The 22,419-nt window shown below is 38.3% G+C and overlaps 1 pseudogene; it reads right to left on the bottom strand.

The window, feature by feature from the left end:
• Positions 9,858-13,454, bottom strand: PPP1R2P1 (protein phosphatase 1 regulatory inhibitor subunit 2 pseudogene 1; annotated as a pseudogene).

A 22,419-nucleotide genomic window follows, 5' to 3' on the forward strand; every position in this document is an offset into this window, starting at 1 on the left:
ATTGTTTAACAAAATGGTTCTTCAACAGTAAATGGATAAACAAAACGTAGTCTATTCGTGCAACACAGTACTATGTAAACAATGAAACTTCATCAACTACTGAAAATGTAACAACATGGACGAATCTCATAGAAACAATATTAAGTGAAGAAGCCAGACTTGCAGAAATACATACTGTATGTTTCCATTATCTATTGCTGGGCAGCACACCAACTCCAAACTTAATGGCTTAAAACAAAAATAATCATTTTATTATCTCTCATGAATCTGTGAATTACTGGACTTTAAGAGCCACTGATGTAGTCCATGAACCAAAACACATATTCACGGCAGCCACTCCACCCAGCACCTCACACCTGTGATGTTTACTGGCTGCCCATGGGATTTGAACACCTTTAGAGTACTGTGAAATTTCCCCTACCTTTTGAGTCCTGCCTCCCTAAAGTGGAAACCAGAAAGCTCACTTCCCCTAGCCTTCTTTGAAGCTAGAGCACCTAAGTTCCACCAATTAAATTCATCCACCTAAGACTTCAGTTACAAAGGGGCCACAGGAGGAACCAGGGTGTGGGGGTTGCAGAGCACCTTTTACTGTATTTATTTCTCTGGCAAAGGTGACAGAAGAAGCAACTGTCTTTTGGGGAAGCGGTGGGTTTTTTCCTTTTTTTTTTTTTTTTTTAAGTGAAGTTCCTGAAACAGAAGTGGTTTAGGAGGTGTCTTCAGTGGTGGCTGCAGCAACCTCCAGGTCCTAACAACAGAACCAACAGCAGCGTCTAGAAGCCATGGGGCAGCAGCAGTGGTGTGGCTCATCAGACCTGCTCTCTGCGTGGTCTGACCCTGTACATACATGTGCCTCTCATCCGTAGTTCCAGCATTTCCTCTCTAAAGTCTAGTTCTGAGAGAAATTTCTTTGGTAGACTTTTCAAAGTTTTATCAAACTCAAAGAGGGAACCAGCAAGAATACAAGAGCCTTGATCCAAAGAGTATTTGAAAAACAGAGCTGTATCTCTCTGTGAGGAAATAATTTCTAGGCTAGAGATTCAAAATGGCTAACGTGCTAGAGGGCAATAAAATCATAACCTTGGTGTTATCTTCTTTACCGGAGAAAAAGAGAAAGCCAGCATCCCTTATCAGCTCTCTGCTGATTAACCTCTAATCGCACAGGGCTGGCCGGGTTCGTCTTAGGCAAATTACAATCCCTGAAACACTCTGGTTTTGATCAGGCAGAATTATGAGCAAAGGTTCAAGTGTGATATAAAATAATCAAGCACGTACAATTTTGCCTTATTTATAATTTTGAAACACTTTTCCTACACAATTTCTGACCTTAAGGGGCAGAATTAACCAAATAAAACTTTTCAGAAATGCTCTAATTCAGTTCCACTCATTTTATCGTCTCTATTTGGCCTGTTTTAGGGCTAAACCCAGAAGCAAAATCTTCTTCAAAATGAATGTATTGACAGTCACCATGCCAGACTTGGAGTACGAACAAGAGCATCCTTTTACCCTTACTGAAACCTATGTGGTCACTAAAACATATATCAATAATATTTTTAACCTGGACAAAATTAATCTAGAAAATTGAGCTACTGTTTTTTATTTGTCAGCTTTTACCACATTGTGGGTTTGAGACACAGGTAGTTCTTTTGATAGTACAGCGTTAATTTAAAATATAAAAATCATGCCAAACACATCTAATTACTTTTAGCTTCCTTCACAGTAGGCGGAGGAAGGTGAAAAATTAAGCCTTTTGCGCCACCTAGTGGCCAAATGGGTAGTGGCTGTCTAGTGAGAAAAAACAAAGATTTGGGGGCGTGAAAAATAGCTTGACAGTGTTAGTATTCTGAATTCAGGGTATGAGGTTGGAAGAAGGCAACAACAAAAAAGAATTTTCAGAGAAACTGGTCACTTAAGTGCATAGGTACCTGAGAGTGAGCAATTGTTATAACTTTGATATCTCAATAACCAGAGTGACAATAAAACATTTGAAAATAAACATAAAGAAGGTAACAATTATAAGAAACTTTAGGTGTTTCAGAAGCAAATGGTTTTTTGTTGTTGTTTGTTTTTAAAATAATTTAAAAACTTGATGCTATCAGCACAAAGCACTAAAAGTTATCAAGGTATTAAGTGAGAGCATTCTGATAAGAAACCACCGCTAGCTGGGCAGATTATGCTAAAGGGAAAGAAAAAGTTTTTTCTCTGTCTTAAGTGTAGAGTGTATATTCCAAGATCAATTTTAAATTACAAATCCTCTCCTTTTTTGCTTATTAATTCGAATTCATCATTACGTGTGTGTTTTACAGAAATACATATATAGTTGAATGACAATTTTGTTTAAAACTTTCCACTTTAGTTTTAAAACGTAGTTAATCTTATCAATACAATACATGAATGTATATCCACACTAAGTTTACCACCTTAATTTGAGTTTTGCAAAAATTAAATATGGACAAAGGTATATATATAGAAAGCCACTTAGTGACCCAATAATCTTTCTCTCTATGATACACTTAAGAATTTTTTAGACAATAAAAAGTCACTTATTAACTAGCTCAGTGAAAATTAGTCCAAAGTAACAAAATCATTTGAGGCTGCAAAACAACAATATCACTATTGATATTAGGAGTTTTTCAAAGAGGTAAAATTCTAAAATTTTTACATAGAGTGCAAGCTAAGTAGCTAAGTCAAATGACTTGCAATATTTTTCTGAAATTCACAAGAGCCAATAGTTTAAAAAAAGCATCTCATAACATTTAATTAAAAATATACATTTTCATTTAAGTTTGCTTCCCACAAACCACTGACACACTCATTGACACAGTGAATGAGTCTAGTGACAAGAAACAAATCCTTTTTGTTAGGTCACTTCTAACACTCTGCCTCCAACAAAATAAAGAGGACCTATTCAAGCTGTCAGCTATTATATCATTTAAAGTAATTTTGGGAAGGAGGCCAGGCAGGAGGATCGCTTGAGGCCAGGAGTTCAAGACCAGCCCTGGGCAACATAATGAGACCCTGTCTCTATGAATAATAATAATAAAATTAGTCAGGCATAGTTCGATGTGTCATAGTCCTAGATACTCTGAAGGCTGAGGCAGGAGGATCACTTGAGCCCAGGAGTTCGAGGTTACAGTGAGCTATGATCGCACCACTACACTCCATCTTGGGTAATGGGGCCAGCCAAACACCACAGAAAAAACTGCGACTCCACCCCCACCAGCTAAGGTCAAATGAGGAGCCTAGACTTTCACCCTCACCAGGCTGTCATAAGGAACCCAACACTTCAACACACACATGCACACACACCAGGATGGTGTCAGAGAAAGTGAATAGGGAGTCAGGATGGTCATGCCCTCTTGGTGAAAATGTACTCCTTTCCCCAAGCCCCTGAAATGTCAATGGAAACCTAGACTTCCATTCCTCACCCAACAGTAATGAAGCATCTCTTCCCCTCTCCTCTAGGGTGATGTCAGACAATGCCTAATGGAGAGTCAGGATTTTCATCACCACCCAGAGTTAATCCAGCAACCACTCCCTGATACCTACCACTCACTCCTCCACTCCACTGTCCCATCTTGGTGTCAATAAAGGTCATGTGAGGGATAGTAAGTGGCACTCCTCTCCCAACCAACCAGGGAGGTATTAGTGGGCACCTAATAGGGAGCCAGAATTTCTGTCCCCACTCAGTAATAATGGGGACCTATCTGAGGTGTCAATGAAGGCAGAGTGAGAAGCCTGGACTCCTACCCCTACCTGGCGTCATGAAGCTCACCTGCCTACCTGCTGGAGAGGTGTTAAAAGAAGCCAGCTAAAACAGTTTAAATAAGACCAATAGCCTTATAACATAATGCCTGAAATGTCCAAGTTTCAATTGGAAATTATTTGTCATATCAGGAACCAGGAATATCTCAAATTGAATTTTTAAAAGACAATAAAATAGATGCCAAAACGGAAAGAAAAGCCTGATGAAGATTTTAAAGCCACCATTATTAAAATGCTTTGATGAGCAATTAACACTTAAAAGAATGAAAAAAATAGGATGTCCAGTTCAGTGGTTTAAAAAAAGAAAGAAGAAGAAAAGAGCAGAAAAGAAAAAAATAGGATGTTTCAGCATAAAAATAGGATATATACGGAAGAAAACGTGGAAATTTTAGAACTGAAAAGTGCAATAGCCAAAATAAAAAGCCCAGTAAATAAGCTCAGCAGCAGAAGGAGAGAACAGAGGAAAGAATTAGCTACCTTGAAGACACAGCAATAGCAATCACTTAATCTGAACAAAAGAAAGAAAGAAAATACACTGGAAAAAATGGACAAAGCCTCAGGGACCCATGGGGCTATAACAAAAGATTTAATGTTCATGTACTCAGAGTCCCAAAATGAGAGGAAAAAGAGAGTGAAGCTGAAAAAAATTATCAAATAAATATGGTTGAAAACTTCCCAAATTTGGCAGAAGACATAAACCTAGTGATTTAAGAAGGTGAGTGAACCCCAAATAGGACAAACCCAAAGAAAGCCACACCAAAATCATAGTAATTAACTAAAAATTAAAGATAAAAAGAATCTTGAAAGCAGTGAGATAAATGACATCTAACAGGTGAAAAAAATGACAGAGCAAAATTTTCATCAGAAACTGTGTAAGCCCGAAGGAGGTCACCACCTTTTTCCAGTGCTGAAAGGAAAAAAAAATATCAACTTAGAACACTATATCAGCAAAAATATCCAGGGAAATTAAGACATACAGAGATGAGGGAAAACTAACAGAATTTGTCACTAACAGGTCTACCCTAAAAAAACAAAAAGTTAAATTGAGGACAGTTGGAACATCAGGAAGGAAGAAAGAACATGGCAAGAAAAAATATGGGTTAAAAAATGGACTTTACTTCTTCTCTTGAGTTATTTAAATTATAGGATTGAAGAAAAACGTATAATACTGTATCATATGGTTATAAATGTATATAGAGAAAATATTACAGGCAATTATAAATGAGGGAGGGTAAACAAAGAGAGAAGAAATTTCTACACATCACTCAGACTGGTAATTAATGACAATAAATAAGTTACATAAATATAATGTAATACCTAGAACAACCACTAAAAGAGCTATCCAAAGAGGTACACACACATACACACACACAGCTATAGATAAATTAAAATGGAATTTTAAAATTATTTAGGAAGCAATGAAAAAGAAAACAAAGAAATGAAAAACAGAGAGAACAAACAGAAAACAGAAAATAAAATGTCAGACTTAAGCCTGGACATAACAATATTATAGGAAATATAAATCGCCTAAATACATCAATTTTAAGAGACAGAGCTTGGCAGAATAGATTTAAAAATATGACTCTGTCAGGTGCGGTGGCTCACGCCTGTAATCCCAACACTTTGGGAGGCCAAGGCAGGTGGATCACAAGGTCAGGAGATGACCATCCTGGCTAACATGGTGAAACTCCATCTTTACTAAAGGTACAAAAATTAGCCAGCTGTGGTGGCACAAGCCTGTAGCCCCAGCTACTCGGGAGGCTGAAGCAGGAGAATCTCTTGAACCCGGGAGGTGGAGGTTGCAGTGAGCTGAGATCACACCACTTCACACCGCTGCACTCCAGCCTGGGCAACAGAGCGAGACTCCGTCTCAAAAAAAAAAAAAAAAAGACTCAATTATTTGCTGTTTATGATAAACTCACTTCAAATATAATGATATAGGCGGTTTATAAGTTAAAGGATAGAAAAACATATATCAGACAAAAAATAATAAAGGGAGGCTATATTAATATCAAATAAACTTAGAACAAAGAAAATTACTAGAAATGGATAGGAACACTATGTAATAATAAAAGGGTAAATCTACCAAAAAGACATAGCAATCTTAAATATGTATGCACCAAACAACAGGGCTGCAAATTATGTAAAGCAAAAACTGATAGAACTGAAAAGAAAATAGGCAAGTCAACAATGATAGTTGAAGACTTCAATAGTTTTCTCTCAACAATTGATTAAACAAATAGACAAAAATTGAGAAAAAACATAGAAGAATAAACAACATCAAACCATAAGATCTAATCAACATTTATAGAACACACCACCCAACAACAGAAGATACATTATTTTCTTTTTCGTTGCTTTTAGTAGATTCCACGAGATTTTCCTTTTTCTTTTTTCTTTTTTTTCCTTTTATTTTAAGTTCAGGGGTACATGTGCAGGTCTGTTACATAGGTAAACAGTGTCATGGAGGTTTGTTGTACAGATTATTTCATCATCCAGGAATTAAGTCTAGTACCCATTAGTTATTTTTCCTGACCCTCTGCCTCCTCCCAACCTCCACCCTCCAATAGGCCCCAGTATGTGTTTTTCCTCTTTGTGTCCATGTGTCCATCATTTAGCCCCCACTTATGAGAACATGCAGTATTTGGTTTTCTGTACCTGCAATAGTTTGCTAAGGATAATGGCCTCCAGCTCCATCCATGTCCCTGCAAAAGACGTGATCTCATTATTTTTATGGCTGCATAGTATTCCATGGCAGAATACACTTTTTTTTTTTTTTTTTTTGAGATGGAGTTTCACTCTTATTGCCCACACTGGAGTACAATGGCACAATCTCGGCTCATTGCAACCTCTGCCTCCCAGGTTCAAGCAATTCTCCTGCCTCAGCCTCCTGAGTAGCTGAGATTACAGGCACACACCACCATGCCTGGCTAATTTTTTATTTATTTATTTATTTATTTATTTATTTATTTATTTTTTGTATAGATGAGGTTTCACCATGTTGATCAGGCTGGTCTCAAACTCCTGACCTCAGGTGATCCACCCACCTCAGCCTCCCAAAGTGCTGGGATTGCAGGCATGAGCCACTGCACCCAGCCAGAATAACATTTTTTTAAGTGCCCACAGAATATATGCCAAGATAGACCATATCTAAGACAATAAAAGACCAACAAATTTTTTAAATAAAATCATAAAGAAAGTGTTCTCCTACCACAATGGAACCAAACCAGAAATCAACAACAGGAAAATATCTAAACATTTGGAGACAAAACAACACACTTAGAAATACATGGGTCAAGGAGGAAGTCTCAAGGAAATTTTTTAAAAATACACACAATAAACACAACTAAACAAAAATGAAAATATGCCATATCAGAATTTGTGGGATACAGTTATAGTAGTTATAAGAGGTAAATTTAAGTTCCAGGATACATGTACAGGATGTGCAGGTTTGTTACATAGGTAAACATGTGCCATGGTGGTTTGCTGCACATATCAACCCATCACCTAGGTATTAAGACAAGCATGCATTAGCTATTTTTCCTGATGCTCTCCCTCCCTCCAACCTCGCCCCAGACAGACCCCAGTGTGTGTTTTTCCCCTCCCTGTGTCCTTGTGTTCTCATTGTTCAGCTCCCACTTATAAGTGAGAACATGTGGTGTTTGGTTTTCTGTTCCTGCATTAGTTTGATGAGGATAATGGCTTCCAGCTTCATCCATGTCTCTGCAAATAACAGGATCTCATTCCTTTTTATGGCTGTATAGTATTCCATGGTGCATATGTACATTTTCCTTATCCAGTCTGTCATTGATGGGCAGTTGGGTTGATTCCATGTCTTTGCTATTGTGAATAGTACTGCAATGAACATACAAGTGCATGTATCTTTATAATAGAATGATTTGTATTCCTTTGGGTATATACTCAGTAATGGGATTGCTGGGTCAAATGGTATTTCTGGTTCTAGATCTTTGAGGAATTGCCACACTGTCTTCCACAATGGTTGAACTAATTTACATTCCATCAACAATGTAAAAGCATTTCTATTTCTCCACAACCTTGTCAGCATCTGTTGTTTCTTGAGTTTTAATAATCACCATTCTGACTGGCGTGAGATGGCATTTCATTGTGGTTTTGATTTGCATTTGAGAAGTAAATTTAAAGCACTAACTGCATACATTGGAAAAGAGGAAAAGTCTCAAACCAATAATCTAAACTCTCACCTCAAGAATCTAGTAAAAGAATAACAAAATAAAAAGCAAGCAGAACAATGAAACTGAAAACAGAAAAACAAAAGCAAAAAAAAATCAATGAAGCAAAGAGCTGGCTCTTTGAAAGATTAATAAAATTGGCAAACCACTAGCAAGACTCAGAAAAAAAGACGACAGAAGATAGAAGCTACCAACATCAGAAATGAAATGGGATATCATCAAAGATTCTACAGACATCAAAAGGATAACAAAAGAATACTATGAACAATTCTACACACATAAATTTGACACTTAAATTAAATGGATCATTTTCTCAAAAAATATAAAGTGCCACAACTCACTAAATATAAAATAATTCAAAAATGTCTACACCTATTGAGGAAATTGAATTCATAATTTAAAAACTCACAAAAGGAAATATTTAGGAACAAATAGTTTCAATGAAGAATTCTACCAAAGATTTAAAGAAGAATTAACACCAATTAATCTCTTCCAGAAAATAGAAGCAGAGGAAGCATTTCCCAGTTTATTTTATAAAGCTAGAATTACCTCAATACCAAAACCAAACAATGACAATGGGAAGAAAAGAAAACTGTAGACTAATATTCCTCATGATGCAGCAATCTTTAACAAAATATTAGCAAGTGGAATTTACCAACATATAAAAAGAATTATATACAATGACCACGTGAGAGTTATCCCAGGGATGCAAAGCTGGTTGGATATTCACAATTAATTAATGTAATCCATCATATTATAGGCTGAAGAGGAAAATTTACTTGTTCATATCAATTGATGAAGAAAAAGTATTTAACCCACTTTAACACCCATTCATTATTTTTTTTTAATCTCAGAAATATAGGAGTAGAGGAGATCTTTCTTTACTTGATAAAGATCGTCTACAAAAATCCTATGGTGAACATACTTGATTCTGAAAGACTGAATAGTTTCTACCTAAAATCAGGAACAAGGCAAGAATGTCCACTCTCACCACTCTTATTCACAGTGTTGGAAGTTCTAGACAGTGCAATAGGCATGAAAAAGGAGATTAAAGGCATACAGATTGTGAAGTAAGAAATAAACAGCTCCCATTTGTAAGTGACATGATTGTCTATGTAGAAAATCACAAGGAAGCTACAGAAAAACTTCTAGATATGTGATTTCAGCAAATTAACAGAATACAGGATAAACCAGTATCAATTGTATTTCTACATACTCACAATGAACAAATGATACATATATATATATTTTTTTTTTTTCTTTTTTTTTTTTTTTTTTTGAGACGGAGTCTCACTCTGTCGCCCAGGCTGGAGTGCAGTGGCACGATCTCGGCTCACCACAAGCTCCGCCTCCGGGGTTCACGCCATTCTCCTGCCTCCGGAGTAGCTGGGACTACAGACGCCTACCACCATGCCCGGCTAATTTTTTGTATTTTTAGTAGAGACGGGGTTTCACCGTGTTAGCCAGGATGGTCTCGATCTCCTGACCTTGTGATCCGCCCACCTTGGCCTCCCAAAGTGCTGGGATTACAGGCGTGAGCCACCGCGCCTGGCCCAAAAATATAAATATATTATTTACAATTACTCAAATACATGAAACACTTATGTGTAAATCTAACAAAACATGCAAGACTTGCAAGCTAAAAACTATGTAATGCTGGTGAACGATATCAAAGAAGATCTATTCAGTCTCTATCTATGTGGAGAGAAATACTGTTCATGGATTGGAAGATTCAATATAGTAAATATGTCAATTCTCCCCAAACCAATATACAAGTTTAACACAATTCCAATCAAAATCTTTGCAAGATTTGTTAATTATAGGTAGGATTACTCTAAAATTTACATGGAAAGGCAAAGGGACTAGAATATCTAAAATATTCTTTTTTCATATTATTATATTTTATTGTAGTATGTGTAGTGTATACTAACTTAAAGGGAAAAAATGTAAACAAAATGAAAGACATGGGGAAAATGGCATCTTGCTTTAATCTTCAACTTAAAGTTACCCTTAACAATTCATTTATACCATTATGCCAAATTGTAGTCATCCCTGCAGAATTTTAGACAAATGAAAATGGACAAGGTAACACCAAAGAGATTAAGCACAGAAAGTGATATTGATTAAAAAGTTGAAAGTAAAATCTACCTTGGCTGGAACTGAACATTCAGATCCATCTCTAGAGGAAAATCTAACATGAATCATATGGTTCCTATTTTGACTAGTTCATAGCATATCAATTAGCAACTTATGACTTGAAAATACTTTTTCTCAGCTGCATTTGACTACCTAAAATCCTACCGAGCACGCTGTTTGGCATGTCTTACTCCTCTGAAATCATCATCTACTTTCTAAAAACCAGAAAATTAGTTTGCTTGTGATTTAAAATTCAAAAAAGTTTGTAGAAAACACAAAAAGAATCAACTATTTAAAGTCTCATCCTTTTCTTCTCTCTAAAACAGCTACTTCTACTAAAAGAAGAGTATGTGGATACTTTCTAAGAACTCAAAAACGAGAAAACCAAAATCAGAGGGTGCATGAATATATGTGCACAGGTATGTACAGATTTAATCTCTATATTCCCTAAAACATATTTAAACAGGTAATCCCAGCATTCTAAATTCAGAAAGCAAAAATAAACAGTTTTGTTTCTAAATCAGTGGTATTACTAGCTGAAATGTTTAGTAGAATACTGCACCTATAGTTCAGCAGTACTTTGATTATGTACCATTTAAGAAATCAAAATAATAAGCACATTCTTCTAACAGCAAAGAATTGTCCCACTTTTTATTTTGACATATTGATATTTCCATAAACTTGCAAGTGGAAAATAAGCTGTTCAATAAAAGCCTTCTTACATATATAATATACAGAAATTATTTTAGAAGTCTGTTCATATAACAGATTATTTTGGCACTAACAAAAATTGTATACAATCCATCAGTTGTATGGCTAGAAATGAAACCATCACTAAACCAAGACACACAGGGCTTTCCTGCACTTAGTTTCAGGAAAAAGTTCCAAGTAATTCTTACTGTGTTAGAAGAATAAAGTACATTTGTCATAGTATACATTATCATATTCCCTTAAAGCAGGGACTAAAGTTTTTAAATTAAACAATGTCCAGGCTTACTTCTGTCTGTACATTCAGGAATAATCATATCACTGGTTACATACAATTCTCTCCTCATGCAAAAAAAAAAAAAAAAAACCTCAAAAAAAAAAAACCTGTTGTTTTCTTAAGTCTAATTAAGCCAAACAAACTATTAATAGCAATTTAATTAGCAAGCTATAAATCAGAGAGGTATAAAAATTCAGCAGTTAAACTGTATTTCCCACCTATAGTACTGCTGCTACTCAATCATTTTCTTCATGTATTAGAAGAATTAATAGGCATTGATGGTCAAAATAAGAATTTCAATATTGCAGCAAATGACAGAAGAGTGAGCGAAAGAGTTCCTAATGTGTGACAGTCTTAATGATTCTTTAAAAGGTAAAGGATTGTATGCATGTGTGTGGAAAGGAGTAGGAAATAAAAGTAGGAGGTTAAGACAGGTATTTAAAGGGAATGCCAAGATAGCTGCATTAGAATCTTTATTTTTTAAAAAACTGAAGTCTGCCCAGAGTACCAAAAACATTAAAAAAAAAGAGCAGACATTGGTGCAAGTTTAACCTGTGAGAAAAAAGCTAGTTTTGATGAGAAAAAGTTCAGTCTTTTCCTTGTAAATACAAAGAAATGCAACAGGAATTTTAAAGGTAGTAGGCCAGAAAATGTAACAGTAACTCTTACAATCCTTTTCTTTTTTTTTTTTTTTTTTTTTTTTTTTTTTTTTTTTTGAGACGGAGTCTCGCTCTGTCGCCCAGGCTGGAGTGCAGTGGCACAATCTCGGCTCACTGCAAGCTCCGCCTCCCGGGTTCACGCCATTCTCCCTCCTCAGCCTCCCGAGTAGCTGGAACTACAGGCGCCCGCCACCATGCCTGGCTAGTTTTTTGTATTTTTTTTAGTAGAGACGGGGTTTCACCGTGGTAGTCAGGATGGTCTCGATCTCCTGACCTCGTGATCCACCTGCCTCGGCCTCCCAAAGTGCTGGGATTACAGGCGTGAGCCACCGCGCGAGGTCACAATCCTTTTCAATTAAACAGACAAATCAAGTTGAAGACAAGTGTTAAAATACTATTCAGCCTGAATATTTATCAGCATACATATCCTGTTGTTCAACTGGCTTTTGGTTAAAAAAAAAAAAGTCAACAAACTTTATAAGAGCTATCACCACATTTAGAGTGATGAAAATAAATTAGTTCCCCCCCAAAGATATTGTTTAACCTCTAAAGCATGAAAAGCTATATAATATACAAATTAACCAGTATTTTTACAAAAGTAATACAGTTTTGGACTGATGATATTACACCGTATTTGTGGTAAAGTACTAGGCACAAGAATATATATATCAATTAGGCATTTTCAGTCTAATCAGTCTTTAAGGTTTTCATTTAATTCTTGGCAATATATAATAACTGGTATGCACTTTGGTACTTAAGTCATGACTTGTGGAGAACGAGAAGCAATGTATTATAGCAACGGGGTTCATATCTAACAAACAATAAGAGTGTTGAACAAATCCCTTCTATGAACTTCGTGATTTATTTTGCTGTTGGTCACTTGCAGTAGATCCTTGATTTGATTCTTCCGTATTCATGCTTTCTCCATGTGCAGTCTCTAACATTTCTTCAACTTTGTCATCATCGTGTAGGTCTTTTGAAATTAATTGTCTAGCTAGTTTGATATTGAGTCCTTCATTGTAGTGAAGCGTCCTTCTCATTTCAAATTGTCGCTTTTTTTCTCGTTCTTCAGGTGAGAGGTCACTATCCTCCTCTCCACTGCTTTCTTGTTCCTGAACCTGATACTTTGGCTCCAAGCCTTCAGCAGCAGCTAAGTTCTTAGCCAAGCTATCTGTTGCCATAGCTTCAGTGGTTTCTGTATCACTACATGCATCTTCATCATCACCCATCGTACTATGGTAAGGAGTGCTTGGTTCATCTATTTTCATTAAACCATAGTCTTTGTCTGCTGGACGATATGTCGCCAGGATGTTCATTTCATCCCACTTCTGGGATTTTTTGCTCAGCTGCTCGTGGACACTCCCACGGGGATGTTCGGCCGACGCCACCATAGAGGAAGTCGTAGAGGTGTTGTCCTTCAGGATCCCCTTGAGGGGCCGTTGCGAGGCCGTGGAGGCCGCCATTGCCGGGTGCTCCGCCTGTCGGCTCAGGGTCGCTGCTTGGCGTGGGGTCCGCGAACAGAAGGGTCGGCACTAGCAGAGACCAGCAGGCAGACGCGGAGCCCGCTCAAGGCTAAAGCGGCCGCACCTGCTGCCTCGGAAAGGGGTACCGGAGCGGTTGTCAAGACACAATGACCCCGACGCCAGACTCAAGCGGGGAAAAGCGGGCCTAGAGCTCCAGGGCGGGAGCGACGCCGACGCCTAAAACATTCTTGAAAAAGAAGAATAAAGTGAGTTGAAAATCAGTCTGCCCTATTTCAAGTATTGTTTTATAGCTACAGTAATCAAGACTGTGTGTTACTAGCAGAGGAATGGACACACAAATCAGTGGAACAAAATAGAGAACGTAGAAAAAGACCCACACAATCTGCCCAAATGATTTTTGAAAGAGGTGCAAAAGGAAGTCAGTGGAAGAAAAATAGCCTTTTTCACAAATAGTGAATTGAACAATGGTGAAATGGAACAATTGGGCATCCATAGGCAAGATAATAAAATAAAAATGAAACTTGACCTAAGTCTCACGCCTTATGCAAAATTTAATTCCAACTGGATTGGATTGCTTGAGTCCAGGAGTTCAAGACCAGCCTGGGTAAGATAGCAAGACCCTGTCTATACACAAAAATGAAAAATAATGTTGGTGTGGTGGCTCCTGCCTGTAGTCCCAGCTACTTGGGATGCTGAGGCAGAAGGATTGCTTGAGCCCAGGAGTTCGAGGCTGTCATAAGCTGTGACACACCACTGTACTCTAGCCTGGGTGACTGAGCAAGACTCTGTTTCAAAAAAAAAAAAAAATGTCAGAGAAATGCAATACCTTAACCTTTACCAGATACAATTAATTAAAATAAATAAACAAAATGGATTATGGAGTAAATGTAAAGCATAAAACTCTTAAATTTTAGAAAAATAGAAAATATTTGAGATATAGGTCTAGGCGAAGAATTCTTAGGCTTGACATTGAGAGCATGATCTATGAAAGGAAAAACTGATAAATTGGATTTCATCAAAATGTAAAACTGTTGCTTTGTGAAGATCTGGTAAGTGGATGAAAAAATGAGCTACACAGTAGGAGAAAATATTTGCAAACTATGCATTGAACAAAGGACTAGTATCTAGAGTATATAAAGAACTCTCAAAACTCAACAAAGAAAACACATTAAAAATCCAATTAGAAAATAGGCAAAAGACTTAAGGTAATATTTCACTAAGGAGGATATAAAAATGGCAAATTAGCACATGAAAAGTTGTTCAACATCATTAGCCATTAGGGAAATGCAAATTAAAACCACAATGAGATAATCGCTCCACACCTATCAGGATGGCTAAAATAAAAATAGTGACAATGGGCTGGGTGCGGTGGCTCACACCTGTAATCCCAGCACTTTGTGAGGCCAAGGTGGGCAGATGACCTGAGGTCGGGAGTTTGAGACCAGCCTGGCCAACATGAAGAAACCCTGTCTCTACTGAAAATACAAAAGTAGCCAGGTGTGGTGGCACATGCTTGTAGTCCCAGCTACTCGGGAGACTGAGGCAGGAGAATCACTTGAACCCGGGAGACAGAGGTTGCGGTGAGCAGAGATCGCACCATTGTACCTAGCCTGGGCAACAAGAGTGAAACTCTTTCTCAAAAAAAAAAAAAAAGGCGACAATGCTAAATGCTGGCAAGGAAGAAGAGATACTGGATCTCTCATAATTTCTGATGGGAATATAAAATGGTACAGCCACTCTGGAAGATGATTTGGCAGTTTCTTAAAAACAAAACAAAACCAACAACAACAACAAAAATCCAACAACTAAGCATACTACTACCATCCTGCCCAGCAACTGTACTCCTGGGTATTTAGCCCCAAGAAATGAAAACTTGCATACACAAATACACAAGCACAGACAATGCCTTCACACAAAACCTTGTATGCAAATGTTTGTCTAACTGCCTACTCATTGTAGCCAAAGATAACCCAGATATCCTTTAACAGGTAAATGGTTAAACCAACTATTGTACACTTATACCATGAAATAATACTCAGCAATAAAAAAGAATGACTGATACACACAACAACCTGGATGAATCTCCAGAGAGTTATACTGAGTGAAAAATGCCAGTCCCAAAAGGTTACATACTGCAGTGAGCTGTGATCACGTCACTTCACTCCAGCCTGAGCAACAGAGCAAGACCCCATCTCTAAAAATAGATAAAGAAACAAAAAAGATGGATTACAGAGTAAATGTGAAGTGTAAAACTATTAAAATTTTAGAAAAATAGGAGAAAATCTTTGAGATGTAGGGCCAGGCAAAGAATTCGTAGGCTTGACATCAAAAGCATAATCCAGGCTGGGCGTGGTGGCTCACGCCTGTAATCCCAGCACTTTGGGAGGCCGAGGCAGGCAGATCATTGAGGTCAGGAGTTCGAGACCAGCTGGCCAACATGGTGAAACCCGTCTCTACTAAAAATACAAAAATTAGCTAAGCAAGACGGCACATGCTTGTAATCCCAGCTACTCGGGAGGCTGACTCATGAACATCACTCGAACCTTGGAGGTGGAGGTTGCAGTGAGCTGAGATGGTGCCACTGCACTCCAGCCTGGGTGACAGAGTGAGACTCTATCTCAAAAAAAATAAATAAATAAATAAAATAAACTTTATTGAAAAGAAAAAAAAAGCACAATCCATTTGTATAACATTTTGTATTAAGAAGCTTGAAATGACAAAAGTACAGAAATAGAGAAAAAATTCATAGTTGCCAGTGGTTAAGGAAGTGATGGGGGTGGGAAGGAGGTGAACCGACCATAAAAGGGCAAGATAAGGGATACTTGGAGTGACAAAAATACTGTCTTGACTGTAATATTGACATTGACACAAATGTCAATATCCTGATTGCAATACTGTACTGAAGTGTTATAAGATGTTACCATCAGGGAAACTGGATTAAAGGGTAAAAGGTTCTGTCTGTATTATTTCTTACAACTGCATGTCACTCTCTAATTACCTCAAAATAAAAAGTTAAATTTAAAAAACATGTATGAGGATGTGCATAGTTTTTCAAAATACATTTAAGAAGTTCATGAGTGGAAAGTTTGAGTGAATAAAAATTATATCTGGAATTCTGGTTTGCAAATTAGCCTGGGAAATGTAGCCTGACTCAGTGTGACTCAGTTCTATACCACTGTTCTCAGCTCTGCTGTTGCTCACTGCTAACGTTGAAGCCAAATATCTCTTGAGTTGCAGGGCAACCAAGATCCCATGATCCAATGTTGCTCTCACTCACCTTGGCCTTTGAGAGAGAACAGGAAAGAAGATGGAGAAGAAGGATTTTCCCTTTGCCCCATTTTCCTCTTTTTGGGCTGAACTGTGTCCCCCTATAAGTTCATAATGTTGAATAAACCCAGTACCTCAGAACGTGAATTTTTTTTGGAGTTAGAGTCTTTAAAAAGATAATTAAGTGAAAATGAGGTTATGAAAGTAGGTCCTAATATAGCTAGTATCCATATAAAAAGAGATTAGGACATACATACACAGGGGGCAGTCCATAGGAAGATGCAGGGAAAAGACAACCATCTGCCAGCCAAGGACAGAGACCTCGGAAGAAACCAACCCTGCTGACACCTTGATCTCACATTTCTAGACTCCAGAGCCAGGCGGCAATAAGTTTATGTTGTTTAAGCCATTCAGTCTGTGGTATTTCTTATGGTAGCCCTAGCAAACTAATACATCCTCCTATATTTGGACATAGGCCTGTCCTTCTTGATTAAAGGAATGTAAAAATAAGACTGTTGTCAAAGTTTTAACAAGACTTTATGAAGGCTTGGGCAAAATTGAAAAGGAAAAGACAATAGAAAATTCTTCCATTCTGATCACAGATATTACAGATGTAAGAGATCACAGGCTCCAGTCATCTAAGGGTTCTCCAACTAGAAATAGACCTGGTATGGCTGATGCTACTAATACCTGCCATGTTCCTTGGGCCTTACCACTGTAGTGCACACTGGCTGGACATTTGCATCATTCCTGAAGGCTTCCTCAAAGCCAAGAAGGGCCACTCTGCCCGACTCACAGCAGACTAGAAGGGCCGAAGAGTTCACGTGTCAGGCAGCAGCCTTCAACCAATGGGAATTGATGTACAATTGCCCAACTCCCTCCTTCCGTGGCTGGGTTAACTCTGAGGCAAGTGCTTTCCCAGAATTTCCCCAGGGGATTAAGTTCCAGTCATTCACCCTTCGTTGGCTGTTTTCCCTTCCCAATCTTTTACTCAGCTGCTACTGAAGTTTCATGCACCTCCAAAATAAATTACTTTCATTCATGTCCCTGTGTCAGGGACTGCTTCTGGAAGAAACCAAACGAATGCACCCCGGGTTAGCTTCTAATTTGCTTCACAGCAGTAAAGGTCAACTTTTCTTTGCATTACCCAAGAGAAAACTTAGCCATTACCTCATCATGGTGCTTGGATCCCTAGAACCCTGTCTCTCATGAAACCCTGATTCCTTCCTTTCCTTGTCAAGATCTTTCCTTACCCAGCATGGATGACAGTCCATTCTATTGAGTACTAAGAAAAGAGAGTTTAGAAACTGTCAGAAATATTTTTATTTCATTCAAATTTGTAATATTCCGTAGACCAGAAACAGCACACTCTTTGATCCCATCCTTGTATGCCCAAAATATCTGAGTTGGAGGAGGCACTGACCCTCTGTCACACAGTTTAACTGGATTACAGAGTGCAAGACCCCAAAACCAGTTCCTGACACTCTTTCTGTCTTCAGCCTGTGGATTCTTATCACTTCCACAGAAGAAAATTGGCTCTAAGATTATCCGGAGTACTTCCCAAATCTATTATTTATGGAACAAGTGCTGACTTCAGATATCTAGTAATCTAAGGTTTTTCATCTCCAAAGACCTTTCTTTCATTTGGCCTCTACTGGGTTTTCTATTTTTTTTATTTATTTATTTATTTATTGAGACAAGGTCTCACTCTGTCACCCAGGCTGGAGTACAGTGACCTGAACATGGCTTGCTGTATCCCTAACCTCCTGTGCCCAAGCAATCCTCCTGCTTCAGCCTCCTGAGTAGCTGAAACCACAAGTGAGCGCCACCATGCCCAGCTAATTTTTTTTTCTTTACTTTTCTTTTTTTTTTTTTTTTTTTTTTTTGTAGAAACTGAGTCTCGTCATGTTGTCCGGGCTGGTCTTGAACTCCTGGGCTCAAGCAATCTTCCTGCCTTAGCCTCCTAAATGGTTAAAGGCATGTGACCATCACACCTGGCCTACCATGGTTTTCAAATGTAAAATTTTAAATGAAAAATCTTAATCTTTTGGTCATTGCTGTTTTGCTGTGGTCTGTCTCCCATGGCATGAGGGGAAATGCGTTATCTGCCTCTGTTGTAGAAAGATGCCTGAGGAAAATAATCCTCAGTTGATGTCTCAGGATTTTTCCTGCCATATACCTGGAATGTGTAAAAGCACAGGAAATATCCTAGTATAACACAAACTACACACAGTTACCTTTGGGACCTAGAATGGAATGGGGAGGAGGGAGAAACAAAGGAGACCTTTTACTCCGTACCCTTCTGTATGGTTTGAACTTGTTGTTTTTTTTTTATAGACGGAGTCTTGCTCTGTAGCCCAGGCTGGAGTGCAGTGGCACAATCTTGGCTCACTGCAAGCTCCGCCTCCTGGGTTCACGCCATTCTCCTGCCTCAGCCTCCCGAGTAGCTGGGACTACAGGCGCCCGCCACCACGCAAGGCTAATTTTTTGTGTTTTTAGTAGAGACGGGGGTTTCACTGTGTTAACCAGGATGGTCTCAATCTCCTGACCTTGTGATCCGCCCGCCTTGGCCTCCCAAAGTGCTGGGATTACAGGTGTGAGCCACTGCACCCGGCCGGTTTGAACCTTTTATAACAAGAGTGAATCCAGATATTTACTATGTAATTTTCTCATTTAGTCTAATCATTTAGACTAAATGATTAGAAGAAGCAGGACTTAAAAAGAAATGAATGAATTTCCACTAGGGGGTGGTAGAGAATCATAATCCATATCATAGTCTGAAACTGAAGGGCAAAAGGAAATAGTCAAGTTCAGAATCACATGCTGCAGCCCATTTGTAATTATAAATCTTTATTAACTAGCTCAGTGTGAGATCTAATTTCTTCATAAATGCCCAATAATATATAATATGCTCTTTTGAGCAACGCTTTTCAGATTATGTTCTCATACAGCCTTTTACAGCCCTTTACAGCTTTTCTGTAAACTGGGCTGAGATGTACCACTAAATGAAATTGAATGATAGGAGTCCATTGTGGTTGGAATAGATACACACAGTGATTGATTTAGGTAGATTAGAAGGTGGATGGATGGATAGATAGATAGATAGATAGATAGATAGATAGATAGATAGATAGATATGCGCACACACATTCCTCTCCTTGAGTCCCCCTGGGTAAGCCGAGGCATGAGTACTCTGAAGGAAAAGCAACCATGAGTGAGCTGCAGCATCCTTACTTAACCTCCAAACTTAACCTTTGTTGTAATATATATAGAAAAATGAGTTCCGAATTCCCTCCTTAATCTCCAACATGCAGGCACTATGCCTCTGCCCAGTTTCTTTACCCATGCCTTTTATTATATCCCATCCCCAACTGAACCCTATCTCGACCTGGTCAATAGGTGTGAGACCCAGATATTCTTATCCGGGAGATGCTATTTCTTTTTTTCCAGAGGCCAGAGGTGGTTTTTAGTAACCACCTGTATCATTTTGCAGGGGCTTCTTAAATGCGTGGCCAGACTCACCTCACTGTGCCTAGGTGCCAATATGGCCTCTCAGCTTTATTCCCCTTGCAATCCAAAATCTGCCAGAACTGGACAGCAGTTTGATCCTTGAATTAGACCGTGGTTCATGATGCTTGCTTCTCACCCTCCCACCAGCTGTGCTTTATTTTTCTTTGATTCTAACTATTACAGAAAAGACAAGTCAGACTCCTTCATCGCTGGGCAAAGTTCCAAGTAAACTGCATTGGGAATCCTTGGCATTTTAACAATGGCTCACTGCTCCCCTTGTGACTAATGGGCAACACAGGCCTGTTTATGAGTTCAAGTCTCTGTCCCTGGATCATGTAATTTTAATTGTTCTGTTACTTCATTTCAATCCTGGTCCCCACAGCATTTTTCTCACTGTTCATTTTCAAATTTAGTGTCCAACCTATTACTGTGTGCTTTTCTTAATCCCTAGACCAAGCACTCTCTGGCTTGCTCATTTTCCCACTTGGGCACCCTGGATCCCAGCCAGAGGTGGCCCTTACCACTTGGCTCCTCCCTCAGTGCCCTTGGACCTCTTTGGCTCGTAACTGCTTCTGCTGAAGGTCATCCTTTTGGCTCCATGATCTTCATGGCTGAGGTTGCTTCATTACTTCTGGAGGGAAATCTTGCTGCTTTCTGTAAACATTTTTTTCTCATGGCATATTTATGTGGAACTGTGCCATTTCTTTTCCTACTTATTCTGAATAAATTGAGCATTCCTGGACCAGATATTAGTGGAAGACTCCTATTGGATGGGGGTGGGATGATGGGTTGGTGAGAGAAGACATGGGCAATAGTAACCTCCCAGGTTTTACAACCGAAGGACCAATCCTTTATTACTAACACGTAAACTTTATCTTAAAATACGCTGCATCCATGTTTTTTCCAACTTGGGGAATTTAATCTATTTCAGCAAGGATTCTACCACGGTGTTAGGACCCCCTGCATTCCAGAGGGAACCTTTGTTATCTGCCACCTTGGAACCTCCAAAACAAAGTCTGCTCCCCCAATATGTGGGCCTTCTTCTGCCTTCCCCAGCATCTGGGCCTCACTGTAGCTCAGGCCAACTGCCAACAGCTCCAACCTAGGCTGGCTTCTACTCTTAGAGAGAGAATATTTTCGGGCCCTTTCCGAGATCCCGCACCACTAGTTCCCTCCACGCTTTCATCTGTTGCCACAGCAACATTTTGGCTTCTTATGCCCAGTTCTGCTCTCCGTTGCTTTAAGCACAAATGACATGCAATTTGGGATGTAACCATACTTTTTGTTTCCTAGTTTCACTAAAAATGAGGTTCTTGTGTGGTTTTCTTTTTCATTCTCTTTGCTGTACTATATAGAGAAATGAATTCTGAACTGAATTCCCTCCATATTCCTAGCAAAAACATAACTCCTTTGAATTGCAATTTTGATTTCCTTTTCAACCCAAAAATTAGTGAGATGTTTTTAAGTTTCCAAGTGGAGGCTTTCTTGTTAGTACTGTTTTGGTGAGGTTTTGTTTTGTTTTATTTTAGTTTTGTTTTGTTTTTCTATGTATGTGTTTTATACCGGTGAGAGAATATAGCCCGTGTAGTTTCTAATTTCTATTTAATTTTACTTTGTGGTTTAATGCATTATGTTTGGGAAAATATGCATTCACTATTTGTTGAGTACACAATTTTATAAATATTTGATAAGATCATTATTTGCTTTAGCAAAATATCTTACATTCACATTATTTTACAATTGGATATGACAGTTTAGTTTAAAAGTATGCTAAAAGCTCTTAAATGTGTCAATTTATCTTTCCTAACAAAGCACATTTTTTTCCCTAACTTTCAAAGACTTGTTTAGGATATGAAGGCTTATAACTTATGGGTAGTTGGTGAATTGTACATTTTAGCATAATAAAGTATCCTTCTTTGACACTGAAAAATTTCTTCATCATTTATTCTACTTTGTTCAATATTAGTATTTGTAATGGTTTGAATGTGTCCCCAAAAAGCATATGTTGGAAATGTAATATTCAATGCAACAGTGTTAGTAGGTGAGGCTTAATGATGAGAGGTGTTTAGGTCATGACGACTCCATCCTCATAAATGAATTAATGCCAATTACAAAAAGGCTAAAAGCCTGTGAATTCAACCTGTTGCACTTGGGCGCTCTCTCTTTCTCTTTCTCTCTCTCAGCTCTCTTTTTATCCCTTTTGCCTTCCACCACAGTATGAGGCAGCCAGAAGATTTTTGCAAGATGCAGGCCTCTCAACCTTGGATTTCCTAGCCTCTAGGACTGTAATAAGTCAATCTCTGTTCTTTAAAAATTATCCAGTCTTGGATATTCTATTATAGCAGCACAAAATGGAGTAAGACAGTATTTCTATCCATAATTAATTTTTGTTAGCATTTGCCTGAGTT

The sequence above is a fragment of the Homo sapiens genome, chromosome 6 (assembly GCF_000001405.40).
Source record: "Homo sapiens chromosome 6, GRCh38.p14 Primary Assembly".
Lineage (NCBI taxonomy): Eukaryota > Metazoa > Chordata > Mammalia > Primates > Hominidae > Homo > Homo sapiens.